At 52.7% G+C, this 27,382-nt stretch overlaps 1 protein-coding gene across 5 annotated transcripts, besides 5 other annotated features; it reads right to left on the bottom strand.

Moving 5' to 3' along the window:
* Nucleotides 1-170: 170 nt before the first annotated feature.
* On the bottom strand, nt 171-27,382 carry SLC37A2 (solute carrier family 37 member 2). 5 transcript variants are annotated; one of them, XR_007062459.1, is made up of 19 exons: nt 27,261-27,382; nt 13,849-13,930; nt 13,364-13,457; nt 13,159-13,237; nt 11,440-11,575; nt 10,927-11,003; nt 9,907-10,073; nt 9,229-9,266; nt 8,781-8,933; nt 8,353-8,443; nt 6,810-6,872; nt 6,368-6,453; nt 5,814-5,862; nt 5,548-5,621; nt 5,214-5,292; nt 5,013-5,110; nt 4,669-4,733; nt 3,458-4,483; nt 171-2,568 (listed from the first exon to the last, which is right to left on the bottom strand). XR_007062459.1 is itself a non-coding variant. In NM_198277.3 (19 exons), the coding sequence occupies exons 1-18, from the start codon at nt 27,317-27,319 to the stop codon at nt 4,456-4,458; spliced, it is 1,518 nt and encodes a 505-aa protein (NP_938018.1). In that variant the 5' UTR covers nt 27,320-27,382; the 3' UTR covers nt 171-2,568; nt 4,427-4,455. The 5 variants fall into 5 exon arrangements, 3 of the variants coding, with proteins under 3 accessions (NP_938018.1, NP_001138762.1, XP_047282500.1); XR_007062460.1 differs by having other exon boundaries at nt 3,808-4,483; NM_198277.3 differs by having other exon boundaries at nt 4,427-4,483.
* Nucleotides 6,961-8,160: an enhancer, noted in NCBI's record as "CDK7 strongly-dependent group 2 enhancer chr11:124952423-124953622 (GRCh37/hg19 assembly coordinates)". NCBI's record gives its function as "activates an origin of replication core promoter dependent on BRD2, BRD4, P300/CBP, MED14 and CDK7 cofactors, with strong dependence on CDK7, by STARR-seq in HCT116 cells {active_cell/tissue: HCT116}" and the evidence as "EXISTENCE:reporter gene assay evidence [ECO:0000049][PMID:35650434]".
* Nucleotides 8,588-9,137: an enhancer, noted in NCBI's record as "H3K4me1 hESC enhancer chr11:124951446-124951995 (GRCh37/hg19 assembly coordinates)". NCBI's record gives its function as "activates a minimal SCP1, AML or CMV promoter by ChIP-STARR-seq in naive H9 embryonic stem cells {active_cell/tissue: H9 hESC(naive)}" and the evidence as "EXISTENCE:reporter gene assay evidence [ECO:0000049][PMID:30033119]".
* Nucleotides 17,667-17,836: an enhancer, noted in NCBI's record as "active region_5693". NCBI's record gives its function as "activates an Ori minimal core promoter by ATAC-STARR-seq in GM12878 lymphoblastoid cells {active_cell/tissue: GM12878}" and the evidence as "EXISTENCE:reporter gene assay evidence [ECO:0000049][PMID:35858748]".
* Nucleotides 17,897-18,196: an enhancer, noted in NCBI's record as "active region_5692". NCBI's record gives its function as "activates an Ori minimal core promoter by ATAC-STARR-seq in GM12878 lymphoblastoid cells {active_cell/tissue: GM12878}" and the evidence as "EXISTENCE:reporter gene assay evidence [ECO:0000049][PMID:35858748]".
* Nucleotides 27,094-27,173: a silencer, noted in NCBI's record as "silent region_4037". NCBI's record gives its function as "represses an Ori minimal core promoter by ATAC-STARR-seq in GM12878 lymphoblastoid cells {active_cell/tissue: GM12878}" and the evidence as "EXISTENCE:reporter gene assay evidence [ECO:0000049][PMID:35858748]".

Raw genomic sequence — 27,382 nt, 5'->3', positions numbered from 1 at the left:
TCAAGAGTGAAGCTGCAGACCTTCACAGTGAGTGTTACGGCTCTTAAGGCAGCGCGTCTGGAGTTGTTCGTTCTTCCCGGTGGGCTCGTGGTCTCGCTGGGCTCAGGAGTGAAGCTGCAGATCTTCGCGGTGAGTGTTACAGCTCATAAAAGCAGCGTGGACTCAAAGAGTGAGCAGTAGCAAGATTTATTGCAAAGAACAAAGCTCCCACAGCGTGGAAGGGGACCCGAGCGAGTTGCCAATGCTGGCTCGGGCAGCCTGCTTTTATTCTCTTATCTGGCCCCACCCACATCCTGCTTATTGGTAGAGCCGAGTGGCCTGTTTTGACAGGTCGTTGATTGGTGCGTTTACAATCCCTGAGCTAGATACAAAGGTTCTCCACGTCCCCATCAGATTAGTTAGATACAGAGTTTCGACACACAGGTTCTCCAAGGCCCCACCAGAGCAGCTAGATACAGAGTGTTGATTGGTGCACTCACAAACCCTGAGCTAGACACAGGGTGTTGATTGGTGTGTTTATAAACCTTGAGCTAGATACACAGTGCCGATGGGTGTATTTACAATCCCTGAGCTAGATATAAAGGTTCTCCGAGGCCCCACCAGAGCAGCTAGATACAGAGTGTCGACTGGTGCACTCACAAACCTTGAGCTAAACACAGGGTGCTGATTGGTGTGTTTACAATCCCTGAGCAGGACATAAGGACTCTCCACGTCCCCATCAGACTCAGGAGCCCAGCTGGCTTCACCTAGTGGATCCCGCACCGGGGCTGCAGGTGGAGCTGCCTGCCAGTCCCGCGCCGTGCGCTCGCACTCCTCAGCCCTTGGGTGGTCGATGGGACTGGGCGCCCTGGAGCAGGGGGTGGTACTCGTCGGGGAGGCTCGGGCCCCACAGGAGCCCATGGAGCGGGTGGGAGGCTCAGGCACCGCGGGCTGCAGGTCCCGAGCCCTGCCCCGCGGGAAGGCAGCTAAGGCCCAGCGAGAAATCAAGCACAGCGCAGGTGGGCCGGCACTGCTGGGGGACCCAGTACACCCTCTGCAGCCGCTGGCCCGGGTGCCAAGTCCCTCACTGCCCGGGGCCGGAAGGGCCGGCCGGCTGCTCCGAGTGCAGGCCCGCCAAGCCCATGCCCACCCGGAACTCCAGCTGGCCCGCAAGCGCTGCATGCAGCCCCGGTTCCCGCTCGCGCCTCTCGCTCCACACCTCCCTGCAAGCTGAGGGAGCCTGCTCTGGCCTTGGCCAGCCCAGAAAGGGGCTCCCCACAGTGCAGCGGTGGGCTGAAGGGCTCCTCAAGTGCCGCCAAAGTGGGAGCCCAGGCAGAGGAGGCGCCGAGAGCGAGCGAGGGCTGTGAGGACTGCCAGCACGCTGTCACCCCTCACTGAGACCCCACTTCAGCACCCCATGCCAGCCTCGCTCGCTGCCAAGCCAAGCCCCGACAAAGATGAGCATGGGCACAGCAGGTCAAACAGAATCTATTGGTGCCAGTGGGCAACTTTAGGCTCAGATGGAGATGCCAAGAGCTAGCCAGAAAACAGCGAGTGATCCGGGACTTGGGGTGGAAGGAGGACATAGAAAAGTGGAAAAGGGAGCAGCAGATGGCACCAGGTGACCACATCTGCAGCAGCTGCCTGAATGAACCATTCATGCCCTCACGTCTTGCCAGTCTTGTCACCATTGGCACCTGTGCTCAGGGCGTAAGTCCTTCTTGTGTCCACTGTCTACTCCATTCCTAGAGCTGGCATATAGTAGGCACTCCTTGGCATTTCATTCTCAAAATACTTAATACACATACTGGTATTTTTAGTCATGCCAACCCCTCTTTCTACTCTCCCCACAGCACCGGCCCCCATCACCTTCCACTGAGGACATTATGGGGCCAGGATCAGAGTGAGGCAAGGGAGGCACTCAGGGCCGGCATGTGCCCAAGAGGGAGTGCCCCTTCAAATTATGTACCGAAGGCAGCTCCCCTGCCTCGCCCGAGTGCTGGCCCTGGAGGAACAGCAGTGATGGGCGGGTAATGGAGTTATCAACAGGCCTAAATGGAGAGTAGAAGAGGGCCCAGCTTGGGGAAATGCACAGAGAAGACTGTTGCATGGATAGAGGGACAAAGAGAGGCTGGGCTCCTTTGGTGGAGTGAGATGCCCACCTATAGATACAGGCAGATTACAGAGGTTAAAGCTTAACATGGGAAGGAGAGATGCCCATTTTCCAGGCGTTGGCCTTGTGAAGCCTTCTGTCTTGGAATCTGAACAAGCAAGAGTCTGAGCATATCCTTTCCTTATCAAAATGGAGACACAACTCAGCCCTAGTCCCATCCCTTTTGCTTGCAGCTTCCAGAGCTCAGGCCCCTGAATCTTCTATTTCCTCATGCTTGGCAGTCCCCTTCCCATGGAGAATCTCTGTGTCCTTAGGCAGCCCTGGGGTCTGGGCTGGGCTGGCTAATGTTCAATAAAGAGGGTTTGCCTTCCCTGCTTGTGGAAGTTTCCATTGTCTTGCCCATGGGGAGCACGTTGGGGACCCAACTGGGACCCTCCATGCTGCTGTTCCAATTGGGGCCTCATATTTCTTTATACCTGCATGAAGAGGAGAGGGGGGACAGAAGAGAAAGTGAGATGACTTCATAAGCTCCTGCTGAGTAGGGAGAGGAAAGGCAGGGTCCCAGGGTCCCTTCATCATTGCTTTCATCTCAGTTCTCTGTAATGAGGCCTCCCTTTCACCTCTCAGGCAGGAAATAGCAAGCTAGATTAATATTTAAAACCTGGCCGGGCGCGGTGGCTCACACCTGTAATCCCAGCACTTTGGGAGGCCGAGGCGGGTGAGTCACCTGAGGTTGGGAGTTCAAGACCAGCCTGACCAACATGGAGAAACCCTGTCTCTACTAAAAATACAAAATTAGCCGGGCGTGGTGGCGCATGCCTGTGGTCCCAGCTACTCGGGAGGCTGAGGCAGGAGAATCACTTGAACCTGGGAGGCGGAGATTGCAGTGAGCTGAGATCACACCACTGCACTCCAGCCTGGGCAATAAGAGCAAAACTCCGCCTCAAAAAAAAAAAAAAAAGAAATTAAATAAAACCTTACAATGTTCATGCCACATTTGACAGCTTTACAAAGCAATATCACATATCCCATTTATCTCAGCCTTGGGTCAATTCTGCCAGGTATTCAGGGATAAGCATCCCCATTCATACATAAAGATGTGGTGGTTCAGAGAATCTGGGTCTGATGGAGTGCTATGCCCAAGGTCTCATGGAGTGAGTGGAGAAAGCAGGACTGTCCAGGGGTTTTTGGATTCCAAGCACAGTGCTCTGTCTGCTCTGATAAATCACTGCACACCTCACACACAGGCCTCCCATGGAGCAGGACCAGCCTGGGACAGCGGTGGCAGTCCAGAGAAAAGCAAACAAACCCCAGGCCCAGTTTCAGTGTTAGGCTGTGCCCGAGCTCTGAGCCTCTGTCTCTCACCTTCAATGAGAGGCTGCTGCGAGGCAAGCTCACACGTCTAAAGCCAGACACAATTCCAGGACAGAGCAGTTGCTCACTAAATCCTCCTCGCTTTCTGCTGCTCTTCTTCCCTTCCCACCCTCAGGCCTGGCTCCAAGGAGCACAGGCACAGGAACTTTGGGTCATGCAGTCCAGCCCCCTGCTCCCCTCTTCCAGGGCAGGGCAGGGCAGGGCAGGACAGGTGCTCTGCGTGCTTCCTGTGTTGTGTGTCTTCCTGCTCTCACTTTCTCTCCCCTGGGTGGTGTCTTCCTTAAGTGGAAGTGTGTCCCCAGATGCGTGCTGGTTACCATGTCCCGGGGGTTCCTCCTCACATTTGCCATCCAGCCCAGGTCCACAGCTCCGGCCAGCTCATTAGCGGCCTCCTTGTTAGCACGAGGCTCCTGCTCAGGACGGCCAGCGGGAGAGGGTCGCCCGACCATCAGACCACCAGCACTGTGTAGCCTCAGCCACTGACCTGCTGATGCCACCACCACATCCACCACCACCAGACAGTAGGCAGAGAGCACACCAGGCCAGCCACCCATGCTTGATTCACATTTGTTTCAGAGACTTTGATTGGTAGTTGCTTTTGTTCTGCATACCCCAGGCAGAGGGGCCAGATGACCTTGGTTTCTGAACTTCAGGAGGCACTTGCAGCTCAGTCGCAGCTCAGAGGGAAACTGGTTTCCCTATTTCTGCCTCCTCTGTCCCCGAGGGCATGTCCAAAGTTCTCACACTGTCCCTCAGGGAAGAGGCCACCAACCTCTGTGGCATCTCAGACCCCTTGGAAAACACTTCCCAAGCACCATGCTCTGCTGAGGTTGAAAGTCTTTACAACTGGCCCACAAGAAGAAAGAGAAAGTTGGAAAAAGTCATACTGCAGGACAGAGGATTTGCATGCAGCCCCCACTCAAATGGCACTCGAGTCACAGACTCGAAGTAAATACTCACAAAAGTCATGGGACTTGAGGAAAATACTATCACTGGTGGGTTAGGACCATACTAGAGCTATAGAGATACACGGGGACAACAGAGGACAGGTTAGCAGGGTGAGGGCCACCCAGGGACTGGCTCAGTGCTCCTCAGGTCTGGGCTGGTCGAGCCTCAGCCTGCGTTTGGAGAAACTGAGCGCTGGGCTGATTCCCACGAGAAATGAGGTTGGTAGAGGGGCAGCTTCAGCTCCCCGGACTCACCCGCTGCCTCTGCTCAGGGACACCTTCCAGGCCAAGATCTCTTTGTATACTAACCGGCAAAGGAGCTGTGGAGCACAAGGCACAGAGGGAAGGGAGGGCACTGTTAGCACTGAGCACTGAGTGCCCAGCACCAGGGTGACCCGTGGACTGGCAGTGGAGAAGGGGGAGAGACACGCTGCCACTTGGCAAGGGGTCACTCGGGGGAGGGAGAGTGCTTCTGAGCAAAGGGCAGCTGCTCTCATTGCCCCAGAACCCCAAATGGCCAACGCTTTGGACCTCCAGGGTTCCAGTCTGGCAGGACAGAGCATCCCTCAATACCTATCTGTGTACCCCAAGACTCTTACCAAGCAGGCTAGGACGTCGGCAGAGATGAGCATGTAGAAGACATTGTTCCAGCCCGTGGGGGAGATGAGCCCAGCCAGCAGAGGCCCCAGAGCCGCACCTGAATGGAGCACAGCCTCGTGAGCAGGGGTCCTGCACCTCCCCTGCCCACCGGAGGGCACTATGCCTAGGGGCCGGCCCACAACAGAGCTAGAGTCACAGACCTATGGAGCCGGTGCCGTCAATGATGGCCGTGACCGTGGACAGGGCTTTGGCGTTGCCCTTCAGGCTCTTGTGAGTCCCCTGGAGAGAGACAGTGGAGTGGGGAAGCCCAGCTGAGCAGCAGCATGAGCAGAACCAGGACAGGAGAGGGGCTGACTCAGGGAAGGTGGTAACTGGGGTTTGGGCTTGAGAGGAGAGGGGCCCATGGTGCGTTCTGAAGGACTTTGACGGTTTCTCCTCTGCGGGATGGGAGACAGGGAGAAATGGACCTGGAGATGGTGGCCCTGACCAAGCCCCCAGAACGGTCCCTGGCCCTCGGGAGGTGGCCCCACTCACCAGATCAGCAGAGACAGCAGTGGTGATGAGCGCGTATGGGCCATTGACCAGGCCCCCACAGATGATCAGCATCACTGGGACAGCATAGAGACAGCCAGTCAGAGAAGCAGCACCACCCGCAGCCCCAACCCCAAGGCAGGAGCACTCTCCAGCCTTCAGCCCTCCCAGCCCCTCCACCTGTCAGTGCCCCCCGTGGGCCAGCCTCATGGGGCCCCCAAGGCAGTGCCTTTCCCCTGGCCTGGCAGGACTTGCAACCTCCTCCTCACCTATGGAGCTGGCAATCCCGTCCTGGCCAATGTAGTTGTACAGGAACATCTGAGAGAGGAGAGGGGAGAGGCAGAGTCACCCGGAATCCCTTTGCTGGCCTGGAGCCCTGAGGTCTGCAACAACCATCTCCTGCCCTGAAACCCCAGAGGGCATCCTATTCCTTTTCCCCTGCCTATGCAGATTTCTCTGGTCTTTAAATGTCCCAGGGATGGACGGTCTAAAACGTGGTACTCTATCATCTCCCTTTCTCCAAACAGTCTTCTCTCAGATTCAACCTCAATCTCTTCTTTCCTTGATCAAGAAGTTTAGGAGGCGGTCTCCTCTACCAAGGCCAAAGAGTCATGAATCCCCCTCTAAAGTCTGCAGTCTGGCTCTTTTTCCAAGGTGCCTCTGCTGACCCTCGCTTCTCCTCCCCCGTGTGTGCACAATGATGCATGTGCACGCGTACACAGCGACATCAATGTGTGTAACGCGTGGACGTGCACATAGGCCAGAGGCCCACACAGGCTCCTGCTCACATGCATTCGCACTTCACCCTCGGGGTTATACGCACCATGGGGGCAGCCAAGATGAGCATGACACAGCAAGTGGTGGCCCTGCCATTGGTGTAGTCAGAGACGAGCCCTGCCACGATGCCGCCTGGAACACACAGCCACTCACGCACTGACTCCCAGACAGGACCCTGCCATCCCCTCGCCTGGCACCCCAGCTGTGCCCCAGTGCTGGCCTGGGCCTGTCAGCAAGAACCAGCAGAGCTGCTTTTTCCACAGCCCTCCCCTTCCTGTAGTGCCCATCACTACTGGAGACCAAACAAAAGGGCATCTTTCTTAGGCCCACCCAGCCAGGCAGGATCAGAGCTGAGAATAAACCCAGGAGCCATTTTTCCTCTGGTGCCACCTACCCAGGTCATAGCCCATCGGACCTGTCCCTTCTTCCTGCACCCCACAAGAAAAGAGGGGAAGGGAGCCTGCTGGCAGAGCAGGGCAAGGCCTCACCTATGATGCCACCAACATCGAAGAGTGTAGACAGGTCCCCAGCCTCCTTGGCACTAAAGTGAGCTGTGGAAAATACAGGTATGTGGTCAGACCTGGGGTTTGGGGCAAACATCCTGGAGTGTCACAGCTAGAAGCCCTGCAGAGCGTGATCCAGACCACTGCCCCCTTTTCCGAGGAAGAGCTGGGGACCTGTGGAGCAGGCTGGCCAGGGCCACAGGGTGAGAATGCAGCAGTTTGGATAGACGCCCTCTTGGTCCCGTCCTGTGTTGCCCTCTTCCCCTGCAGGATGACCTTCACCTCTCAGAACAAGCCCTCCCTGGCAAGCTCTGGGATCTGGCCCCCGAGCCTGCTGTCCCGTGGCCACCTTTCCCCTGGAGCGCAACCTGAAGCTCAGCCCAGCCCTTTCTCTGCTTCACTCCGGCCCTAGCAGCACTAGGAACTCTTCCCGTTTACCTTAGGCTGTGCTCATACACAGAGCCAGGAAGGAGACTTGCAGGGACACAGGGGCCTCAGGTCACAGGCCTTGGCTCCATGTTTTAAAAAAGGAATGTCCAGAAGCTGAGATTGTAGCCCCACCCTCGAGGGTGCCTCATACTCTGAAGTCAGCACCAAGGCCACAAAACAAAGAGTCACGGTGTCCACAAAGCTGCCCTAGTGCTCCACACTGTCACGAGAGAGGCCCCGACAGAGCTGCGGGGCAAGCTATGGCTTGAACTTGGCCATGACTAATTCCTACAGTATCCTGTTCAGAGCGAGCACAATGTGTGGCAAGGCACTGTTGTTCCTCCCCAGGGCTGGGAGGGAGGGCAGCAGTACTGGGTGACAGGCCCTCAGCCCTGGTGGAGCTTGGAGGCTCCTGGGGGCTGGGCAGGGCGGGGTGGGCTGCTGTTTGGTAGAGCAGCCTGACCTATGGAAAAGCAGAGACCCAGGCCAGGTGGACATGAAACATCCTTTTTCAAATGAGCTCTTCTCATCTATACATCCCTGGGCAGGAGCAGACGGGAGTAGGTCCATGAGACAGGACAGAACACCAGTGCAGCCCAGCAGATCCAGGCACAGGGGCATCGATCACATTAGGTCCCACGGGGAGAAGACCACCAGGGTCACCACCAGGCTACAAGGAGTGGGGTCACTCACCAGGCCCTCTTCCTTGGGCTGGGGGAGAGATCTAGCAGGCAGGCCTTCCCTAGCACCTCCAATGCTACCACCTATGAGCCAAGCAGCCTGGAGGGGGTTTCTCCTACACTAAGGGCTAGAGAAGAAGATAGCAAGAATTGCAGAACAGAGCTCTGAGTTCCTAACCCCCAGCTCAGTTCCAAGGGGAGAAAAGGTGGCTGGAGTCAGGGTCTAGGGGGTAGTTTGCTGGGTTTAGCTTTCATTTAAGTAAACAACTAAATCAAGCTCCTTTCACTCTAGGAGAGGTTCAGCAGGAATTCTGCCTATATACTGGAATCACAGGCATCACCACGACGGGCTTCCTCTCCCACCAGAGGCAGCCTTGGCCTCCTCAGAGACCCCTTCATTCCCCTTCTCTTGGACTTACCCACATTGGCGATGTAGAGGGGCAGCCAGTAGAGGAAGGTGTAACTGACCAGCTTGGCAAACAGCAGACACAGAGAGAACTCGACCACGCCCTGGGGAGTGCAACAGGGGGCACATGGGAAGGGGTCCAGAGGTCCTGGGTTCAGTGGTGGCCCCAAGGGGTGCTCAGCACCACCCCAGTACTTTCCATCACCTGCCACACAAGGCAGCCTCCAACACATCCAGTCCCAATAAAAGCAACATGACCACTGTGCAAGGTTGTTTCAAGACAAATCTCCCACACTGCCCTCCCCAAGCAGGCTGCCCAACTTACACCTCCCCTATAAAGAAGTTCTAGAAAAATAGATCACCCAAGCACCCCATCTCCTCATCACCAACAGAAAAAATCTGGAAAGCCCCTCTCTTTCCTCCATTCCACAAACTTCTTACTGGGATCCGGAGCGCCCCAAAGAAGCTGATGGCAGCAGGCTCTTCGCATGGCCCCTTGGAGCATTTGGCCACAGTCTCAAGGCCGCTCTCCCTGATAGAGCAGGGACTGTTCCCAGGGTCCTCAGGGTTGTCCTGGTTCTCAGCTGGCTCACCCTGAGCAGAGGAGATGAGCCCTGCTGTGGGTGCGTCCATGTGCTGCCTCCCACCAGCTGAAGGTGCAGCCCAGGCAAGAGACACTGGCTCCCAGGATGGGGAGGCACACGTTCGTCTCGGGCTGGACTGACCTGCCAGACTCATCAGGCTGTAGGGCCAACCCATGGGCCTAGCACTGGGTCGGTGAGGTCAGTGAGGGCCAGAACTCCCTGCTCTAGCTCCCCAGGCCTCTCCGGGTCCAGCCCTCTGGATGGAGTTGGAGGGCAGGGATAGGGCTGGGAGGGCTCACACTCACGTGGTGCTGAGGAGGGGCGCAGTCCACATCTTCTGGGTCTAGAAAAAAAAATCGCTTTCTAAGAAGTTTCCCAACCCCCGCCCCCCCAATCCCGAGGTGATTGCCAGGCCCTCACCTTGCACTGGATCTAAGCCATCCCGGGAACCAGCCCCGCCTCCAGCTCCTAAGGTGGCCAGTGTGTGTCCCAGCAGGAGGGAGCGGGGCCTGGGGCTCAGGAGACAGCTTTCTAGGCCTGGCTTTCCTAACAACCAGCAGTGTCACTACTGCCTCTTGGACTTTAGTACTCTTAGCTACAGAGTGGCTCTCATACCTGGCCTGGCTAGTGCACAAGACCACCTGCAGCAAGTGGAGAGCCTGGTCACTGTAACAATGTCCCTTCAACTCCACCCTCCCTGATCACACCTCTCAGATTCAACCAATGCTTGCCAAGCACCTCCTGTGGGCCTGGCATTTTAACTATGGTGTCTCAGTTAAGCCTGCAGAAATCCTACGAAATAGACATTATTATTACTATTATTATTTTACAAATGAGAAAATAAAGGCTCTGAAAGATTGTCCAAAGTCACACGGCTGGTCCTCCCACTCTGTGACCAGCAATCTTTCCAGTAGATCCAGCTGCCTTCTCCCAGAAACCGAGAACTTCTAGGCTCACTTGTGGGGAGTGAGGGGCCCACTCACGTTCGATGAGGAAGAGGAAGGTGATGACGCCCATGACGGCAGTAATGATGCCAGGCACGATGAACGACAGGCCCCACTGCCCGTTCACCCAGATGCCGGCGATCAGGGAGCCCAGGATGTTGCCCACAGATGTGTGGGAATTCCAGATGCCCATGATGAACCCCCGCCTGGAAGGGAGGGAGAGAAGGGAAGAGGTATAAAAAGTAAAAAGCAAAGCACATTGTTCATAGCAACTGCCCCAGCCAAGCTCTAAAGCTGGGCTGACTACAGCTTCCCCGAGGCACCAAAGACAGCCCCAAAGCCCCAAGTCAGCAAGGAGTGGGAGACCTTGGATGGTGTCAAGCAGGTGGCTGCAGGGCCTGTGGTCTCGCTCCGCCTGCCCAGCTCCCTGAGTGAGTGCCGATGGGAGCTCTAGCCACACTGAGGGCATGGGGGCCCCGGCCCTCGTTCTTCTCTTCTGTCCCACGATCTCACTCTAAAGCACTGTCCTCAACCAGGGGTGATCCTACCCCCAAGGGATATCTGGTAACAGCTAGAGATTTTTCATGGTCACAGCTCAGGGTGTGCTATGGCATCCAGTGAGCAGATGCCAGGAAGGCTACTACTAAACAGCCTGCAGTGGTAGGACAGTCCCCAAACAAGGGTCCAATAGCCCAGAAAGTCAGTAGTGCCAAGGGTGAGAACTCCTTCTCCAAAGCAACTTTGTTTTGCACACAAGCCAATTCGGGGTCGGGGTTGGGGGGCAGGGCGGAAGTTTTATAGGCTTCTTTTTGTCTTCGTTGAAAATAGAAATTAATCTATTATTAGAAAAAAACATAACTAAGGTTGCCTGCTCTATGGGTTAAAGCCTCATCAGTGAGAAAATCAGCACTGCTTTTAGCCACTTCTAAGCACGTGAACAGCAACGTGGAGGCCGCTTTCTGACCCTTCCCTCTGAAATTACATCAGAGGCCACGGTGACCAGCTCAGGACCCCCAGCCCTCCCAATCCTTCCCACTCCTCCTCCCTTGTTACACTCACTTCCCCTTCCCGAACCAGTTGCCAACACAGGTCACCACAGAGGGCCAGCCTGTGGTCTGGACGAGTCCATTACAGACCTGCAGGGAGAGAGAAGGGAGGGTGGGAACAGGCCTGGGCTGTGCGACTGGCTCCCTGCTCTGACCACCCTGGGCTGAGGAGGTTCAATTTCGTGGCCAAGGGGCCCTCCATACCCCACACTACAAACCTTACCCTTCCCTTACACACATGCCACACCTCCTCAATGGCATGAGCTGGCTTCTCTCGCTCAAGATTGTTCAAGCAGAGACCAAGCCTCTCGTGCATTGGAAGTGACCACAGCGTTGTGCTCAAGGCCAACTCTCTGAGTGAACAAATGCGGGGGCAGTGGGGCCAGGAGGTAGAACTCAGTGCAGTGTAATAGAGAGCACTGGACAGGGAGCCAGGAACACAGGCTCCCACCCGCTGTGAGCTGCGGTCTCCCAGGTCCTTCCCGAGACGGCAACACAGGCCCAAGTGCAAGACGGTGATTCATACCTGGATGACCACAAAGTACCAGAGCTCGTGGATGTTCCAGAAATATCCCAGGCCAAAGAGCGAGGTGAAAAGGCCACTGAGCAGCATTCCAGCTGAGAGGTAGTAACGGAGCGGAAGCCGCTCCCCAAAAACCCCACTGGGGAAGAGAAAGTTGGATCTGCGGTTAAGCTCCTCTGTGTCCACCTCAACTCCCTACCATGTTTCTGCCCCCACCACGCTAGGAAGTGGCTCTGGCCAAGGTCCCACCAATGACTTCTGTGTTGCCATGTGACGGGGCCAACCTCTGTCCCCCACTGCTTCTGTGACACCTGGCCATGCTCCATGAATTTAGCTTTCCCATCTTCCTCCGCTTGGCCGGCCCCTCGTGTCGTGCGTTTTCCTCTCGGTGCGGTCTTTTGCAACACTTTCACCATTGCCACAACCACCCATAGGCTAAATAGCTCCACAGGCATCACATGCATATCTTCAGGCCTGATCTGTCTCCCAGAGCTTCACAGTCACAGACAGGTGCCTCCTGGACATCTTTATTTGGATGCCCCCGGGGCATTTAAATAAACCCAGTGCTCTTAAGCTGAATTCCTCTTCCTCTTCCCACCAACCACCCTGACGCCTTCATCATCCTGCTATCCTCATCTGAGTGAATGCCACCCCTTGGGCACTCAAGCCAGGCTCAGAGCTCCCTCAGCCTCCCACCTTTCCTCCCCACCCCTCACATTCAGTCTCCAAGACTCACCGGGCTACCTCTTAGCTAGTGCTCCAGTACATAGCCTCTTTCCACCTCTATCACCACTGTAGTAACATAAGCTCAACAGCTTGGGCTACTGTCAAATTGGTCACTCTGTATGACCAGTCTCATCCACCTCAGCATCACTCTCAGAGTGAGCTCTCAGAAATGCTCATCTGGATGGGACGCCCTGGCGAAAACCCTTCCATGCGTCTCTGCCCATGGACCTCATGTGCAAATGACCTCAGCCCTCAGCCCTGCTGCTACCTTCCTTACACTGTCATTCCCTCCATACACCTGCCCGCGGTTCCTCCCGTAGATCATGCTGTTTCTTCACATTTGCCCTACTTGCTCGTGCTATTCCTTCTGCCCAGGTCTCCATCTGCACCGCCGCACCCAAGTCCCTTGCATCAGGTCAGGCACCATCTCATCCAAGAAGCATCCCCGACCCCTCTGCTCTAGCTCAGCTTGGACTGAGTAATGACCTCGGAGCTCCTAGAACACATGATGGCCACCTCTGTCATGGAGCCGCCACAGTTTTAGCACCAGCTGCCAATGCATCCATTGCCCCCACTGGCCTGTGAGCTCTTTGGAGGCAGTATGCAGCCTTATTGATCGTGGATTCCTGGCAAGGAACAGCATGCTTCCCGTGCTGGTTTGGACACAGCAGAGGATGGGGATTCTCCCAGATATATGTGCACGCAGGGCCATTCTTAAAGGGTCCTAGTCCATACCCACCAACTGTGGTATCTGAGTGAATAGACTCAAAAGCAGCATCCAGGAGAACATTTCCAGGCAAAAGAGCTGCTACCAGTGGGAGTCTACCAGGCGAAGGAGCAGTCTCTGCGACCGCGGTAAGGCAAGGAGGATGGCTGTGGGTGGATTGTACATGCAGCATCCCTGGGCTCATTCCCAGCTGCCCCCAGGTTCCTTAAGGGGAGGTAGCAGCTCTAAACCATCCTCCTCTTGGTCATAGGCTCAGCCTCTGTCCTTACCTGATGAACATGCCGATGGCATAGGCGATGAGGAAGGCGTTGTCCACGCCCCCTAGTAACTCCTTATAGTTGTCCTTGTCTGAAAGCAGATGGGAGAAACAGAAAGCTGACTGCGTGGATGCCCCTGCAGGAAGCCCTCCCTGGACAGCCCCTTCTCGAGGAAGAGGGAATGGGGAATGGGAAGAGCAACTTGCCCTGTTCTTACCAAATGGGGCCCAGCTGCACCACATGGTGTCATTGAGACTGTGAGTATCATTGATGGGTTTGATCTGCTCCGAGCAGTTCTGGTGCAGACGGCTCTGGATAGGCAATGGGACATACAGGTCAGGGGTTGACCCAGAGGGGAGCAAGCAACCACCTGCCCCAACCATACTGGAGACACTGCCTCCTACCAGATTCTATGTCCCCGCTACTGGCACCTCCTCCTGCAGGAACTGGCTGCAGGGGAAAGCAGCCACATCAGACCCATGAGCAGCATCCACATAGCCCAGGGGCCCTGCACGCTTATTCCATCCACAGCCACCGACACAGCTGTCTTGGGGAATAAACTCAAAAGGAGCTCCTGGGGAAGACAGCCACTGAGAGTGGGAGCCTGCCAGGTGAAGGTGCAACCTCGGTGGCCATGGGAAGGGGTAAGGACGGTTACGACAGTGTGCTTCTGCACTCTTCCTTGCTGCCAGCCAGCCTCACCTTGACGATACTGATAGGCTTCCTGGACATGTGATAGCAGGCGTAAATTAGGAAGGTCAGCAGCAGGATGAGGCCTCGGAACCTGCAGGAAGGGACAGCATCTGCGTTAGTGGGAAGTCAGCCCCAGCTGGAAGTTCTGGGCCGGCATCCCTGACCCGTGTCCCCTCTGGCAGTCCCAGGGCCTGAGGACCACCAACTCTTTCCTTCTTGGTGCAGAGGCCAAGGGGAGGCTGGGAAAAAATGCCCAGAGGCCAGGGTGCTCAGAGGGACCTGTCTCCCTGGTCCCAACTCCTGAGGCCTCTGTTGCAGCCGGCTCGGCCCCAGCCCACAAGAAGCACCTCCGCCTGCTCTGACCAGCTGGCAGCACCTCTGCTTTTTGTCGACCTCCCTGAGGTCAGGGCGCCTGTGTGTGTGTGCATGTGTGTGGCAGAGGTGGGGGCAGGGAGTTTGAGTGGTTTTCACATGTCTAAAATGATGGGGGTAGGAGGGAGACAGTCGGGAGAAGGGTCTGTTTTTAAAGTGAGGTTGACACTCCTCTGAAGCTTCGAACAGGGCAGACACAGCACCTCCTTCAGGCAGGCGGTAGTTGGAAAGGAAGTGGCAGTGGGACAGGTGGTGACAGACCCCAGCCCTCTTCTTAGTCCCAGTCCGTCCATCCCACTGGACAGAGCCCATTCTTTCCATCTGTGGCTCACACACGTGCTCTTTCTCACCCCTCACGTCTCATCCCATGCCCTGGCCCGGGATGGAAAGAACAGTGCAGGCGGGTGGCACTCAGCTTTTCCACTGTGCCCCGGCCGCTCCCCAAGCCTGAGGCCTGGGGAAGGGCCCCAGAGCCCTGCTGAGTCACTATCTGCTTCCTCGCCGCAGCCAGGAGCCAGGACATGCATGGAAAATAGGCCTCAGAGTGGAGCCCCAGTCCAGGAGAAGGGGCCAGGAGTTAGGCGAGACCCAGGGCTCACTGAAGACTTCATGGAGAAGGGTCAGGAAAAAGGGTGGGAGGGCTCCTGAAGCCCTTTCTGTCCTGGCTCCAAGAGCCCAAGGGCAGGACACTGGATGCTCCCTCGGCCTAGGAATCCTCCTCCACACCCCAGACCCAATTCCCCCAAATGTGGCATGAAGCAACACCCACTACCACTTGGGAAACAAAGGGGCATTTCAGCGAAGGCTGAATTGGGCTTGGGCTACGAGGCTCCTTCTCACTTTGCCCCTGGATCGAGCTTCCTGTCTGTCTTCTTGAGAGACTGAAGTTGCTCCTGCCCCTCCACAGCTCTGCTAAAACGCTTTCAGTGCCTTTCCATCCCATCCAGCATGAAGGTGCAACAGTGTAGTCTGGAATGCAGGCAGCTCCACGCCCCGGCCTCTCTGGCCACCGGTTCCCAAAGGCACACATGTGGGTCACAGAGGTCCTCTAGGGACTCAAGTTGTCTAGGGAAGCTGGGGCTACTCCAAGTGCCTGTCACAGTGACTGACATAGGCAAGCTTGTGGCAACAATGTTTTCCGGGTTCCACCTGTTGCCATATGGCTCATGACTCTTAGTTCGGGGACTTCTAGAATCTGAGGGAAATCCTCTGAGAGACTTTGAAGAGGGTGCCCAGCTGGCCTTCTGCAAAGAGCAATGGATGGAAGAACCCTGCAGTCCTACAGATAGCAGCCACCAAGCCCCGCCTGGGACGCACCTGGTTCAGGGAGAGGCGGGAAGCTTTGCGTGGCACCTCTCACTAATTGCCTGTGTAACCTCCCGTGAATCCCTAAGCCTTTTTTTTGCCTCTGGTTTCCTCATCAGTTACACATTGCGCTAGTATCAGTCCCAGCTGTCCCACAAGATAAGAGAACACAGCATGACTCTCCCCCAGTCCCCAGGTCCCTGGTTATACTGCCGGTAAGGCCCCCCAGGCAGCAGGACCAGCCTTCATGACCACTTGGATGTGCCAGGGCCTCTGCCATGATGTTTGGCCACTGACCATGGTGACAAATCAGATCCTTTCAGTGTCTGAAAGATCCTCAGGGACCCAAGGCCCCACTGGGGCCCCAGCTATGACTGTTCTTTCATTGCAGGCTCGGCAGTGAAGCCCTTGCTGGCTCCGTAGCCTGGTGTTGACTAGGAAGCCAGACTGCACCTCCACACTCATGCTGAGCCCTCCCAGGGCTGGTCAGAGCCAATGGGGACCCAGAGGCACAGCCTGCTGCCAGCACCCTTTCCCCTCCCACCCCACTCCCCCAACTGCACTGTGTCAACTCCAGCCCGCCCTCCCCGACTCCCCTGCTTGTGGCCCCAGGTGTTCTTCCTTATCTGCTCCATGGCCCTTTTGCCTGGAGTTCTGTCCCCGACAACCTCAGTAGGAGGAGCTGTGCCCATTTCTAACATCTTGATTCCCTTCGGCTGAAGCGAGGCTGCTCTCCCATGCATCCCTGTGCCCATCCTGTACCAGGCACCATGCTACAATCCAGCACTAGCAAGAGAATCCGTGAGCGGAATCTCCACCTGCCTGGGCGCACAGGTCAGCAGGGAGACAGTTAGACCTGGTGTGATGTCTCTCTCTTACAGAGATGACACAGAGGAGAGACTCCGAGCCAGCAGGAGGGAGCAGTGTCGGGAAAGGATTCCTGGAGCTGAGGCTTCAAAAACAAGCAGGACGAGGCCAAGTCAACCACAGCTGGGGCAGGGAGGACTGCCAGGGAGAGGAAGCAGCGTGCACGAAGGCACGGAGGTGTGAAATGACACTACCTGTTTGGGGAACTCCGCCTCAGTGGGGGTATCTGTAGGGTGAAACTGAGCCAAGCAGAGAAGCAGAGCTGGCTGGGAAGGGCAGGGGCCTCAGGTGGCGTGGCGCAGGGCCTCAGGTGCCAAACTGTGGCATTTAGGCTATCTCTGAAGGTGATGGGAAGCCACTGAAGAGAGCGGGAGTTCCCAGGTCGGCAGCTCTGAACCCCAGCCAGCCTAAGCCAGGTGAAGACCCAGGGCTGTGCCCTGTAGGTTTTGGTGGGAAGCGCAGACAGGCTTCCTCACTGAGGCTCAAGGCCAGTTCCCTGGGCCTTTTTCATCCTGCCAGCCACTCCCAGGGACATAGCAGCATCACGGGGGAACCCAGGTGGTGGATGTCAGGGAGTTGATGTCTATAAGAGAAAACAGCAAGGACTTGGGAATCGGGCAAAAGCTGGTTTCATTCCTTACATCTTTTTGCTCATTGGAAAAGCAGAGTCTATCACCTTTCTCAGACCTATTGATGGGTTAGTGAGATGCACCTAACCAGTCTGAAATTGTTCCTGATGCCCAGAGGGCGCTTAGATGACAGCCAGTGTGCTTCCAATGTTCAGACCAGGAAGAAGGACTGGAGGGGTGGAGGCGGCCCACACTGCTCTGTTAGGGGAGCCGAGTAGGGTCAGGGGCTGAACCAAACTCTTCTGGGAAGTGGAGGCTCCGGGCCCTGGATTTACCTGGAAGGTAGAGATGTGGCTGCCAGCCTGTCCCCCTCCACCCCGCCTCCCGCTGTGCATAGCTGGGTCTAGATGAACATAAGGATGCCCTGAAGCTCCTGGAGCTCTGGCCTTCCATGGTGGGCCCTATGGCTTCTTGGGGAGCCTACGGTGGGACACAGGGGAGACTCCAGCCCCGGGGCCCTCCCACCTGCTCCCGTGGGCAGACAGGAAAGTCAGTAGGGGTCCCCACGTGCATCCTGACCTGGTAGGTTCCAAGATTCCAGCCCTGCCCTCCTCCAGGTGGTAGCCTGATGTCCCCGCCAGCTCTGACCCCAACTCCCTGAAATCCACCACCTGGAGTCCCCCATGATGCTGCCAGTAGAAACCCTGACACCCAAGATAGCAGGAGAGTCATGAGTCTTGAGGGTGGCGGGTGGGGGGTCCTCAGCTGTGTTGTGTGACACTAGGCCTGGCACTGGCCTTTTCTGGGACTTCCTTCCTGGCCTCCAGAGGGATGGAGGGATGAGCTCAAAGTCACACCACTCGCTGGGCATGGCATAGTCAGAGCTGGGCCTCCTCTGAGTCTGGTGCTCTATCCATTCCCCATTGTCAGGTGTTCTAAGAGAAAGATCAAGGTGCCGTGGTTCACAGGAGACTGGGAACTTCGGTCAGGTTAAGGGCTAGGCTAGACGGAGGCCAAGACTGCCAAGCTCATGCTAGCTTCAGAAAGGCAGCTGACGCACTCCTTCCATGTTTAGAACCCGCAGGTTTCACTTCTCCTCTCACCAGTCCTTCCCTCGTGAATCAAGAGGTCCCAGAAGAGAAGCAGGGCACAGAATATGCACAGCCAGGCCTTGCCTAGCTGGCCCCAGGGTGGCTGTGACGGGGGGATGGCAGCCCAGGGGCTGGGCCAGGCTGGGCAAGTAGGCCAAGGACCAAAGGATGGAGGGGAAGGCCCCCGGCTGCTCCAGATGGGGCGGCTGTCCCATGACCCTCAAAGACCTTGTTAGCAAGAGATGGCACTTCTCAGAATCCCACCTCCCCCCCACCGGATACTGGTTACTGAATAACCAAGTTAGATAGGGAGGTTGACTAGCTATCTCTTAACTATTAGCTGACAGTCCAACCTACTCTTTCGAAGGAGCCTGATAATAACTTTATTGACCTTGTTGAGACTTTGCACTAGGAATGCTTCTGGGGTAAAAATCAAGAAATGGCATGTCCCAAAGCAGTGACAGATTAGAAACAAACAAACAAAACCCCCAAAAGACCGACTGCCACCACCACTGCAACAGCAAAAAACAAGAAACAGCCCAGCAGAGGGACGCTGCCCCCGAGAGATGTCAGAAACAGCCCCGGTTCCCCAGTGGCTCCCTAGTCACTCCCCAGTCCCAGGCTAGGCTGGCTGTGGCTGCAGGTGACTTTGGCACTTGTCCAGAGAAAATGGATTCAGTAGTCTCTTCTCGGACGTGACTGTTCTGAGACTAAGCAGATCTGAAAAGGATAGAGGGCTGGGCACAGTAAGAACCAAGCTAGGGTCAATGGTGACAGTGCCCACCCCCCCTCCCCCACAAGCCCTCCACCAGCACTGGGAGATACCCTGCTAGGAAAAGGCCAGCCAGGAACAGATACCACAGGTGCAGAGCCCTGAGCCAGGTCTTTAGCACACAAGACAGGACAAGACCCTCTTTGGGAGGCGCAAAGCTCTCCCAGGGCAGCAGCCAGCCCCTCAGGGAATCCTCTGTTTGCTGTCCTTCCTCCAGCTGGGACGTGGGCACATGCTCAGAGAGATCGAGATGACTCGGGGCTTGCCCTGAGAGCCTTCCTAGAGAAAGAAGCCATTGGCCAGGAGCCACGAGGAACTCAGGACATTTGAGAAGAGACTGGTGGCTCAGATGACAGTCTGTCTTAGGAAAGAGGAAAATACAGGATAGATTGTTTTGCTTTGGGAAGAAAGCTGAGTGGGGGACCCTGAATGGTCAGGCAGAATGAAGACAGCCTTCATGCTGCAGCAGGGACTCTGATCAGCAGCCGGAATAACAGGGAGGGTGGGAGTGTTGGTGGGGCTCAGAAGAGGCAGCCAACAGGTTTTAAGTTGGTGTCTCTTCTGAAGAAAGGTTGTGTAAATAGCACTGATGGAAGCGTGTTGATGATGGCAGAGCTGCAGTCCTGCTTAGAGGGGGAGGAGGATGGCCTTCCTTCTCCTGAGCAAGAAGCGTCCAGGGGACAAGACCTGAGCCAGAAGCCAACAGGAGAGCAGTGACACCGCCCCCCCACCCCACACACACACCAACTTAGTGTCTGTTAGTGACTCAGATAGGAGGTCCTGGGCTTCAGGGACTCTACCTCTGGTGTCTGTCCTCAATTCTGCTGTTACTTTGGGACTGTCAACCCTGACCCCAGCTCTCAGTTGATACAGAAGCTTGAATGGAAAAAACAAGGCCTTGGCCAACCATACAGACTATTTCGAAACCTTGCTGCTACCTTCTAGACCAGCCCACAGGGCCTGAGTCAGACAGCCCCACCCGAGGTCAATGAGGTGCACGCCAGTCCACTGTAGGGAGGGAGAGAGGAAACAGCAGGGTGGAAGAGGAAGCCCAAAAAGCAGCTGGGGGAGAAGCTGCTGTCACGAGGGGTGGGGGATGGGACCTCCACAGGCTCACATGCCCCTTCTGGGGGGCCGGAGTAGGGATCATGGGCTGAGACTCCAGGTTCTCCCCAGGAGCCCTCATTTCCTTTTCCAAGCAGCCTCTTCCCATCAAAGCTCATTTTAAACAGCCCTTTCTGCTGCCCTTACCATGCACCTCTTTGCAGTCAACAGGAAAGTAAGATTTGAGAGAGCTAGCCCATAGGACAGGGAAACAGACATCAGACTTCGAGCAAAATTGGCTGAGTCCTAATTTCTGGTTCTGCCACTTAATGTGACCTTGGGCAAGTTGTTGTACGTCTCTAAGCCTCAGTTCGATCTTCCTTTAAATAAGATCATATTCCCCTGCTGCACGAGAGTGTTATAAAGATTAAATGAGATATCCTGGATGTGGAAGTGTCTGGCACACAGCAGATTTTCTCTCAGTATGAATTTGAATGTCTTTCCCCTGCGTCCTCCTCAGAGTGGGCACCAGGATCCGGCAGTGAAAGCCCTTAGCTAACTCCACAGGGCAGAACCATCCATTCTAGCTCAGCTGTGGCCTTTTGCAGCTCACAGGGGAAGATCGAGGTGTGGGAAAAATGGCACCACAGGAGCTCACAGCTCCTGCTCTTCCTGCCTGCCCAATTCACCCTCCTGCCCATTCCTGCTCATCCAGCTGTGGTCACCCTGGTATTTCCTCCCACAGGCTCTTCTTCTGCACGTTCTGGGCCATCCCCCTCAGAGGGCCCCAGGAAATGGGCCCAGCCCCATAAGCACCAGCCACAGTCATCTCCCATGCTGCCAGCTGCCCCCAGACGCACCCACACAGACACTGGTACAAAAGGCAGGAACCAGCCAGGCTCCAGGCTGGGGAACCTCCAGGTGCTCTGTGGCTCTGAAACGCCATGGACAAGCCATTCATTGTCATCCTGACGAGGAAGGCCTAACAGGAGGAGGAGAGCAACATCTTCCTGGACAGAAACTCCGCCATCTCTGACTCTTGCCTGGATGTCTGCAGCTGTCTCCACACACCTGGCGCCACATGACTCCCAGCCTCCTGTCCAGGGGCACCTTTTGTTCCTACCAGCTGGAGCTACATGTTACTACTTCAGAGACAGGGGACAGGCCATGTCTCCACTTGCATGCCTTTGCTGGCTCTGTGACCTCTGCTCAGAACACCTCCAGATCCAAGTCAAAGACTTCCTTCTTCTCCTAATGGAGATGATTCTCTCCCTCCACAGAAATTTATAAGCACCTAGCCAATACCAACTACGCTAGACACTGGGCTAAGTGCTTTAAGCAGCTTCTCATTTAATTTCACCAAAACCCCGTGATATAGGTACATCATTTTTTCCATTTCATAGATAAGGAAATTGAGCCTGGGAGATGTTAAGTAATTTGTCCAAGGCCAAATGGCCATGTAATCTTTTCCCCACCCAACACTATCATTAGGAAGGCAGCGGAAAGACCATGGGCTTACGAGTCAGACTAATCTTGATTCCAACTCCAGCTCAGTCATTTATCAGCTGTGTGGTGCTGGACAGGCTTACATAACTGCTCTGTGCCTCATTACACTCATATGTTCCACAGGGAAGCTAACATTCACCTTGCAGTTCCACAAAAATTACAAATAAACAATGCCTGGCACAAAGTAGTAGGAAAAACAAATAGAATATAGTCAATCATTAGTGTTTACTCAGTGTTTCATATCAGCCTGGCACTGACCTAAGTACCTTACACGTAGTACCTCATTTAAACCTCAAAACACTCGTGTGATACAGGTATTATTATTATCCTCATTTTACAGAGGAGGAGTCCAAGGCCCAGGGCCAGTCCACTTTCAGCTTCCTATTCTGTCTTCTTCACTTCTTAAATGCCCTCCTTGGGGACATGTGAAAGCAGTTAAATGTGACAGAGATTTGATTTCTCATTTTCAGACTATAAGTCTTTATTTTTATTTGTCTGCACCCTGGCCTGTATTTTGTTTAGCACAAGAAAGGTGAATTGGGTTAATATGTATCTGTAATAATAACATCACCATCATTAATAATGATAGTAAAAGCCGCCATGTATTCCATGCTTCCTGTATACCAGGCAATGTATACATATAATCTCTAACCTTTTATGTGTTAAGTGCTCAGCAAGTCAGTTTTCTTCAAAATCTCCCCAACCGACTTCTGCATTCCCCTCGCTGGTCCTCTGAATGACATGGCACATAGGAAATGCCATCCTTTGGCACTCAATAAGTAGAGCAGGGCCTTCTAAAATTGCTGACTGTGTGTACACAGCCCCTCTCCAGCTTGATTCTTAGTTCCAAGAAGGTAGAACCCTGTCTTGATTGTCTTTGCAGGCCTCAGAGCTCAGCATAATAATGTACTTACAGAAGAACTACGTGACATTTAGTGTTTGATAGGAATCCAAATCTAAACTTATCTGGAAGGAAGTAAAAGGATACCTGTTGAGTACCCTCCAGCAGCCACAAGACGTCAAGAATGTTTCCTTATATTATCGCATTTATCCTCAAGAACCCATCTGACTTTTATTGATGAGGAAACTGGGGCTCAGCAAAGTCAAGGCTCACAGTGGTGAAAGGATTTCAACCAAGGTCTGTCATAAATCCCAGAGATGTTGGGGAATACCGTAGCTGAATTCACACCTTGAGAAGTGTGAAAGTGAAGAGTGTTGGAGGCTGGAGAAAGTCATGTTATGCGTATTACTGAGCCCTTCTAGAATGCCAATGTGTTCTAGATGGTTTATAATGATCCACCCTCCCCACTCCCCATTCTCTCTGAAATGTTAGTTACTTTGGTTAAAAGATATAACTAATATACATGAATGAGACTCTACTAGGAACAATCGTGGCAGAGAGGTATGACTTTGTATACATGGTATTGAAACCTGTTTTTGTTTATTAAAAGGAAAAATATTACACATAAGAAAAATGACTGGTTGTTCCAGAATAAGAAAGGGAACAGGGAAGGTCAAATCTGAATGGATACATTTTAGGTTTGTAGAAAGGAAATTTGATTTGTCTTGGATTATAGTACATCAAACAATAAGTCTAAAAATAAGCAATTAAATGTGTTAAAATTTTGCCAAAGTTGGCAAAATCTTGATAAGTTTGTGAATATTTAATTTAAAAAGAGGAAGGGCTCCTGGAAAACCACAAAGATTTGTTCTTTCATCTTTTAAAAAGAGAGGTGCTAGAAATCATTAGATTTATTTAATATGTTAATATTGATCAATTGCTTGGAAATAATTGTCAAGTCAGAAGAGATGCTCAGCCTTCTCTAGGTTAAATTTATATTGGTAAAATATTATTATTTATCTAAATATTTGAGAAATTATATGCTATAAAAGAGTTGTGCAGACTTCTCAATGCCCTCTCTGTACATGACATGTTTCTATTTATCAGCACCCTGATGGTGCCTTCCCCGATAACAACAGTATACGTGTTACTAGTCACGATTTCAATTATTATTTAAAATGTTACTGGAGGCTGGGCATGGTGGCTCATGTCTGCAATCCTGGTGCTTTGGGAGGATGAGGTGGGAGGATGAGGTAGGAGGATGGCTTTAGGCCAGGAGTTTGAGACCAGCCTGGGCAACATAGCAAGACCCTGTCTCTACAAAAATAAAAAACTTAGCTGGGTGTGGTGGTGCATGCCTGTAGTATCAGCTACTTAGGAGGCTCAGGCAAGAGGATCCCTTGAGCCCAGGAGTTTGAGGCTGCAGTGAGCTATGATCGTGCCACTGCACTACAATCTGGGTGATAGAGCAAGACTTTGTCTCGAAAAAATAAAATAAAATAAAATAAAATAAAATAGTTACTAGGCTGCAACTTTCCTTCTTTAATTTAAATGTAGCATCTTCCAGGCCACTGGTTTTCAACTGGAGATGTACATCAGCCTTTCCTTTGCAGTTTTATTAAAATACAGATATTTAGAACTTATGTTAAGCTTACTGAATATCTTTAGTTGATATTCTTGGCATTTTATGTAAATTATATCCCAGAATTTTTATATATTATATCTTAAAATTTTTTCTCTGTAAAAATCATGTTCATTTTTATAAATTAATATGTTCATTGTGTTTTTTGAAATTAACCTTATATTTTTAGACGTTGTCTAGATTTTTTCTGTTTGGATTAACATCTTTTTGTTTTGCACACCACAGAAGCAACCAAATTTCCTTGTCAGTTGCATTATTCTTGTCATGAATTCTCATCAGATCATTCATTCTTGAAAATTATCAGTAAGAAGTTAATCAACAATTTTTAAGTCTCTGTCACCTACAGATAGTTTTTATTTTACTTTGATGCTTCTTAAAGGCTCTGTAATCAGTTATAGAATAGAGTGGGAGATTTTTGTTTTTTGAGAGATGGGATCTTACTGTGTTGCCCAGACTGGAGTGCACTGGCTTTTCACAGGCATGATCATGGTGCACTACAGTCCCACACTATTGGGCTTAAGGGATCCTCCCACCTCAGCCTCTTGAGTAGCTGGGACTGTAAGCATGCCACTGGGCCTGGCAGGCCAGAGTTTTTATCTTTAACAACCAAATACTGTCTCAGAAAAGCACTGTACTGAGTAATTGCTCTTGGATATAAGTTTCTGATGGAACTACTTAGACAACATTAAGAACGTACTAGTGGACTGAGTCAGGAGTTCCAGAACTCTTTAGTCAAGAAGCAGATAGGTTTTTGAGATTGCTAACCCAAGATTCAGCGGGACAGAATTAATCACACAGGACCGCATGAACTGGGGATGGATGACTGTCTTCTATGTTCAGAATACTGTTGATGTTGATATAGTGTTCTATTTTCTGGACATATAAGGAAGACCTTTCTCTTTCTTCTTAGGCTATATTAACCCATAAGAACTTAGTAGATTCTGCTTTCATAAACTGAAATGAAACACTTATAAATATCTTTTTCTCCCTACCTGACTCCTCAGAATTCAGAAACTCTTATGGAATCTTCTTGCTTTTCATGGAAGTATGGTTATTTGCACAGGTTCAGTAAGAATTTTTTTTTTACCAGTACATAATTAGAAAAATTGGTTATGCAACCAAGACCTTGCCGGGATGTTGTATTTGATCAGGATGCCTATTTAATCAGATACAACCAGCCTCCTCTAAAAACTGAGGTTCACTCTATGCAGCCAATACTAAGAAAAACCTCCCAAGAAAATGGGCTTACTGGGTTTCCAGGTTTACAAGCCAAAAGGAAGGTCACTCTCTGGCTAGCCCAGAAACTTTAGGATATTATGGGGACCCTGAGAAGAGGAATTTGCCCAAATACATCAGTACAGTAGGTAAAACCTGGTGAAGACAGTTTCTTGACTCGGCTTACTAATGTCAGGACAATAAATAATTAAAGGCTTTAAAAAATCTAATCTAGGATTCCTTATGAAAACTTCCAGCTAAGTTTATTAACTTAACAAGGGGTATATGGTAAACTAACACACTTGCAGCCACAATCAAGTCAAATCCAATGAGATCAGCTTTATTTTGTGATCAAGAATAATCCTTCTAAGAATTTTCTTAAAAATCAAAACAGGAGAGACTGTAGAAAAACAATGTATTTCCGTGGAAAACTATGCCTTGTCTAGCACATAGTCCGCCAGGTTATCAGATTCCAGCTTTTAATTGACCTTGAGCTATTTTAAAATTCTTTGAAGTGGTAGGTAACTGAGAAGCCATGCAAAATATACCTATGAAGATAATTTCAGTAGTCTTCCCTCACAACCTGTAGAAGACCAATTTGGTCTCAATATTCCTAACCTATAAATGAATATGTTCTTTAGATTCTCTTTTTAAAATTGTGGTAAAATATACATAACATAAATTTTGCCATTCTAACCATTTTTAGTCTACATTTAGGTGGCATTAAGTATGTTCACATTGTCTCTCAACCATCACCATCATCCATTTCCAGAACTTTTTCATGTTCCCAAACTGAAACTCCATACCCATTAAACAATAATTCCCCAATCCCCCTCTCTAGATTCTCTTTTGAACCGATTATAACATCTTCTGCCTCCTTTATTATGAGTAAAAGAAAATCTTTAACATGGGTTCATTCTTATGTCTTTGTGAGAGTCAGGATTTTAATCTTTTTCTGAAAAATATCTTTTAACAGTCTCCAACTCAAAAAAGACTAGGTAAATAATCTAAACGAGTGAAGAAGGTTAGAATTGATGAGAGCTCTCAACAATTAAAAAGTGTGTAGGGTAGCCAATTGTCTCATTTTGCCCAGGATTGAGAGGGTTGCCGACAAAAGACTGTTTCAAAACCAGGACAAATTGGCCACTTTAATAGCACCTGCCCTATCTAAAGGGGACTCCTCAATCCTATTCATTTAATTTGGAAATTTAGGCCCAGTATTGCTACATCATCCATTTTTCTTTTCTTTCCTTTTTTTACTTCTAGAGACAGGGAGGGGTGTGAGGGGGGAATGGAGGGGTGGTCTCACGATGTTGGCCAGGCTGGTCTCGAACTCCTGGCCTCATGTAATTCTCCCATCTTGGCCTCCCAAAGTGGTGGGATTACAAGCATGAACCACCATGCCCGGTCCACGTCGTCTATTGTTCAAGAGAAGTCTGGAATCTAGCTATTTTTGTTAAATTTTATGATTTGTAAATAATGGCAACTAACACAATATTTTAAAAACTGTGCAGACCAAACGGACTGCTCCAATGGTTGACCGCCTCTAAGGAAGAGTGGCTGAAACCCCTCCACCCCACCTTGCAGCCCAACATGTGGTCCCTGCGGTCAGGAAGAGAACCTCTGTGAAGCCCTTCTCCCACTGCCGAGGGGCTGCCCTGCTCTGCTCTGAGAGCTGTGCCCTTTCCAGGTGCTGAAAGGCCTCGAGACGAGCTCCCAGGACCACTGAGTTCTGGCCTTGGTGTTCGAGGGCTAAAGGAGACCAAGAGGGACACTCACAAACCCCAGTGGCAACCCCTTTCCTCTACCATCCCCTGGCCTCGGTTCCCCAGCCTTCGAGCCCAGGTTCCCCAGCTGCCCAACGACAGAAAGGCGCTCTGAAGGCGCCCCGGATGTGTGTTAGGAGGGGAGGATGGAAACGGGAAACGATGGAGACCCTCCCTGGCAGCCTGTTCTTCCCCAGTGTCACCGAGCCAGCGTCGCGGGGTCTGGGGGAGCGCGGGCGGAGTTGGGCAGGGAGGGTTATCAACCTCCGAGGCGGGCGCCGCTGGAGGAGCTCGGGACCAAGTCCCCCCAGCACCCCTGGCCACGCGGCGACGCCGGGGCCGATCTGGGGTGATCTCCGAGGCCCCCCGCGGCCCCTGCAAGCCCCGAGCCCAGGAGGTCCCGGCACGCCTCCCTCCCCTGCCCCGCTCACCAGCTGTCCCTGGAGAAGGCCCGGAAGAACCAGACTCCCGGAGCCAGGGAGGACCGCATTTTGCCTGACCGGTACCTAAGGCTGAGTCGACGGAGGAGGCTACAGAGCTGGGCGCGTGTCCC

Source organism: Homo sapiens, chromosome 11 (assembly GCF_000001405.40).
Source record: "Homo sapiens chromosome 11, GRCh38.p14 Primary Assembly".
NCBI lineage: Eukaryota > Metazoa > Chordata > Mammalia > Primates > Hominidae > Homo > Homo sapiens.
This window is presented reverse-complemented; position numbering and strand designations above follow the sequence as displayed.

Bases quoted from the DNA above. Each gene is read 5' to 3' on its own strand.
- SLC37A2 (NM_198277.3), bottom strand. From the start codon at position 27,319: ATGCGGTCCTCCCTGGCTCCGGGAGTCTGGTTCTTCCGGGCCTTCTCC. The intron at 13,931-27,260 runs GTGAGCGGGGCA...CCCTTCCTGCAG, and splicing joins GCCTTCTCCAGGGACAGCTG to GTTCCGAGGCCTCATCCTGC. The intron at 6,454-6,809 runs GTGAGGCCTTGC...TGTGTGTTCCAG, and splicing joins CGATGTTGGTGGCATCATAG to GCGGCATCGTGGCAGGGCTC.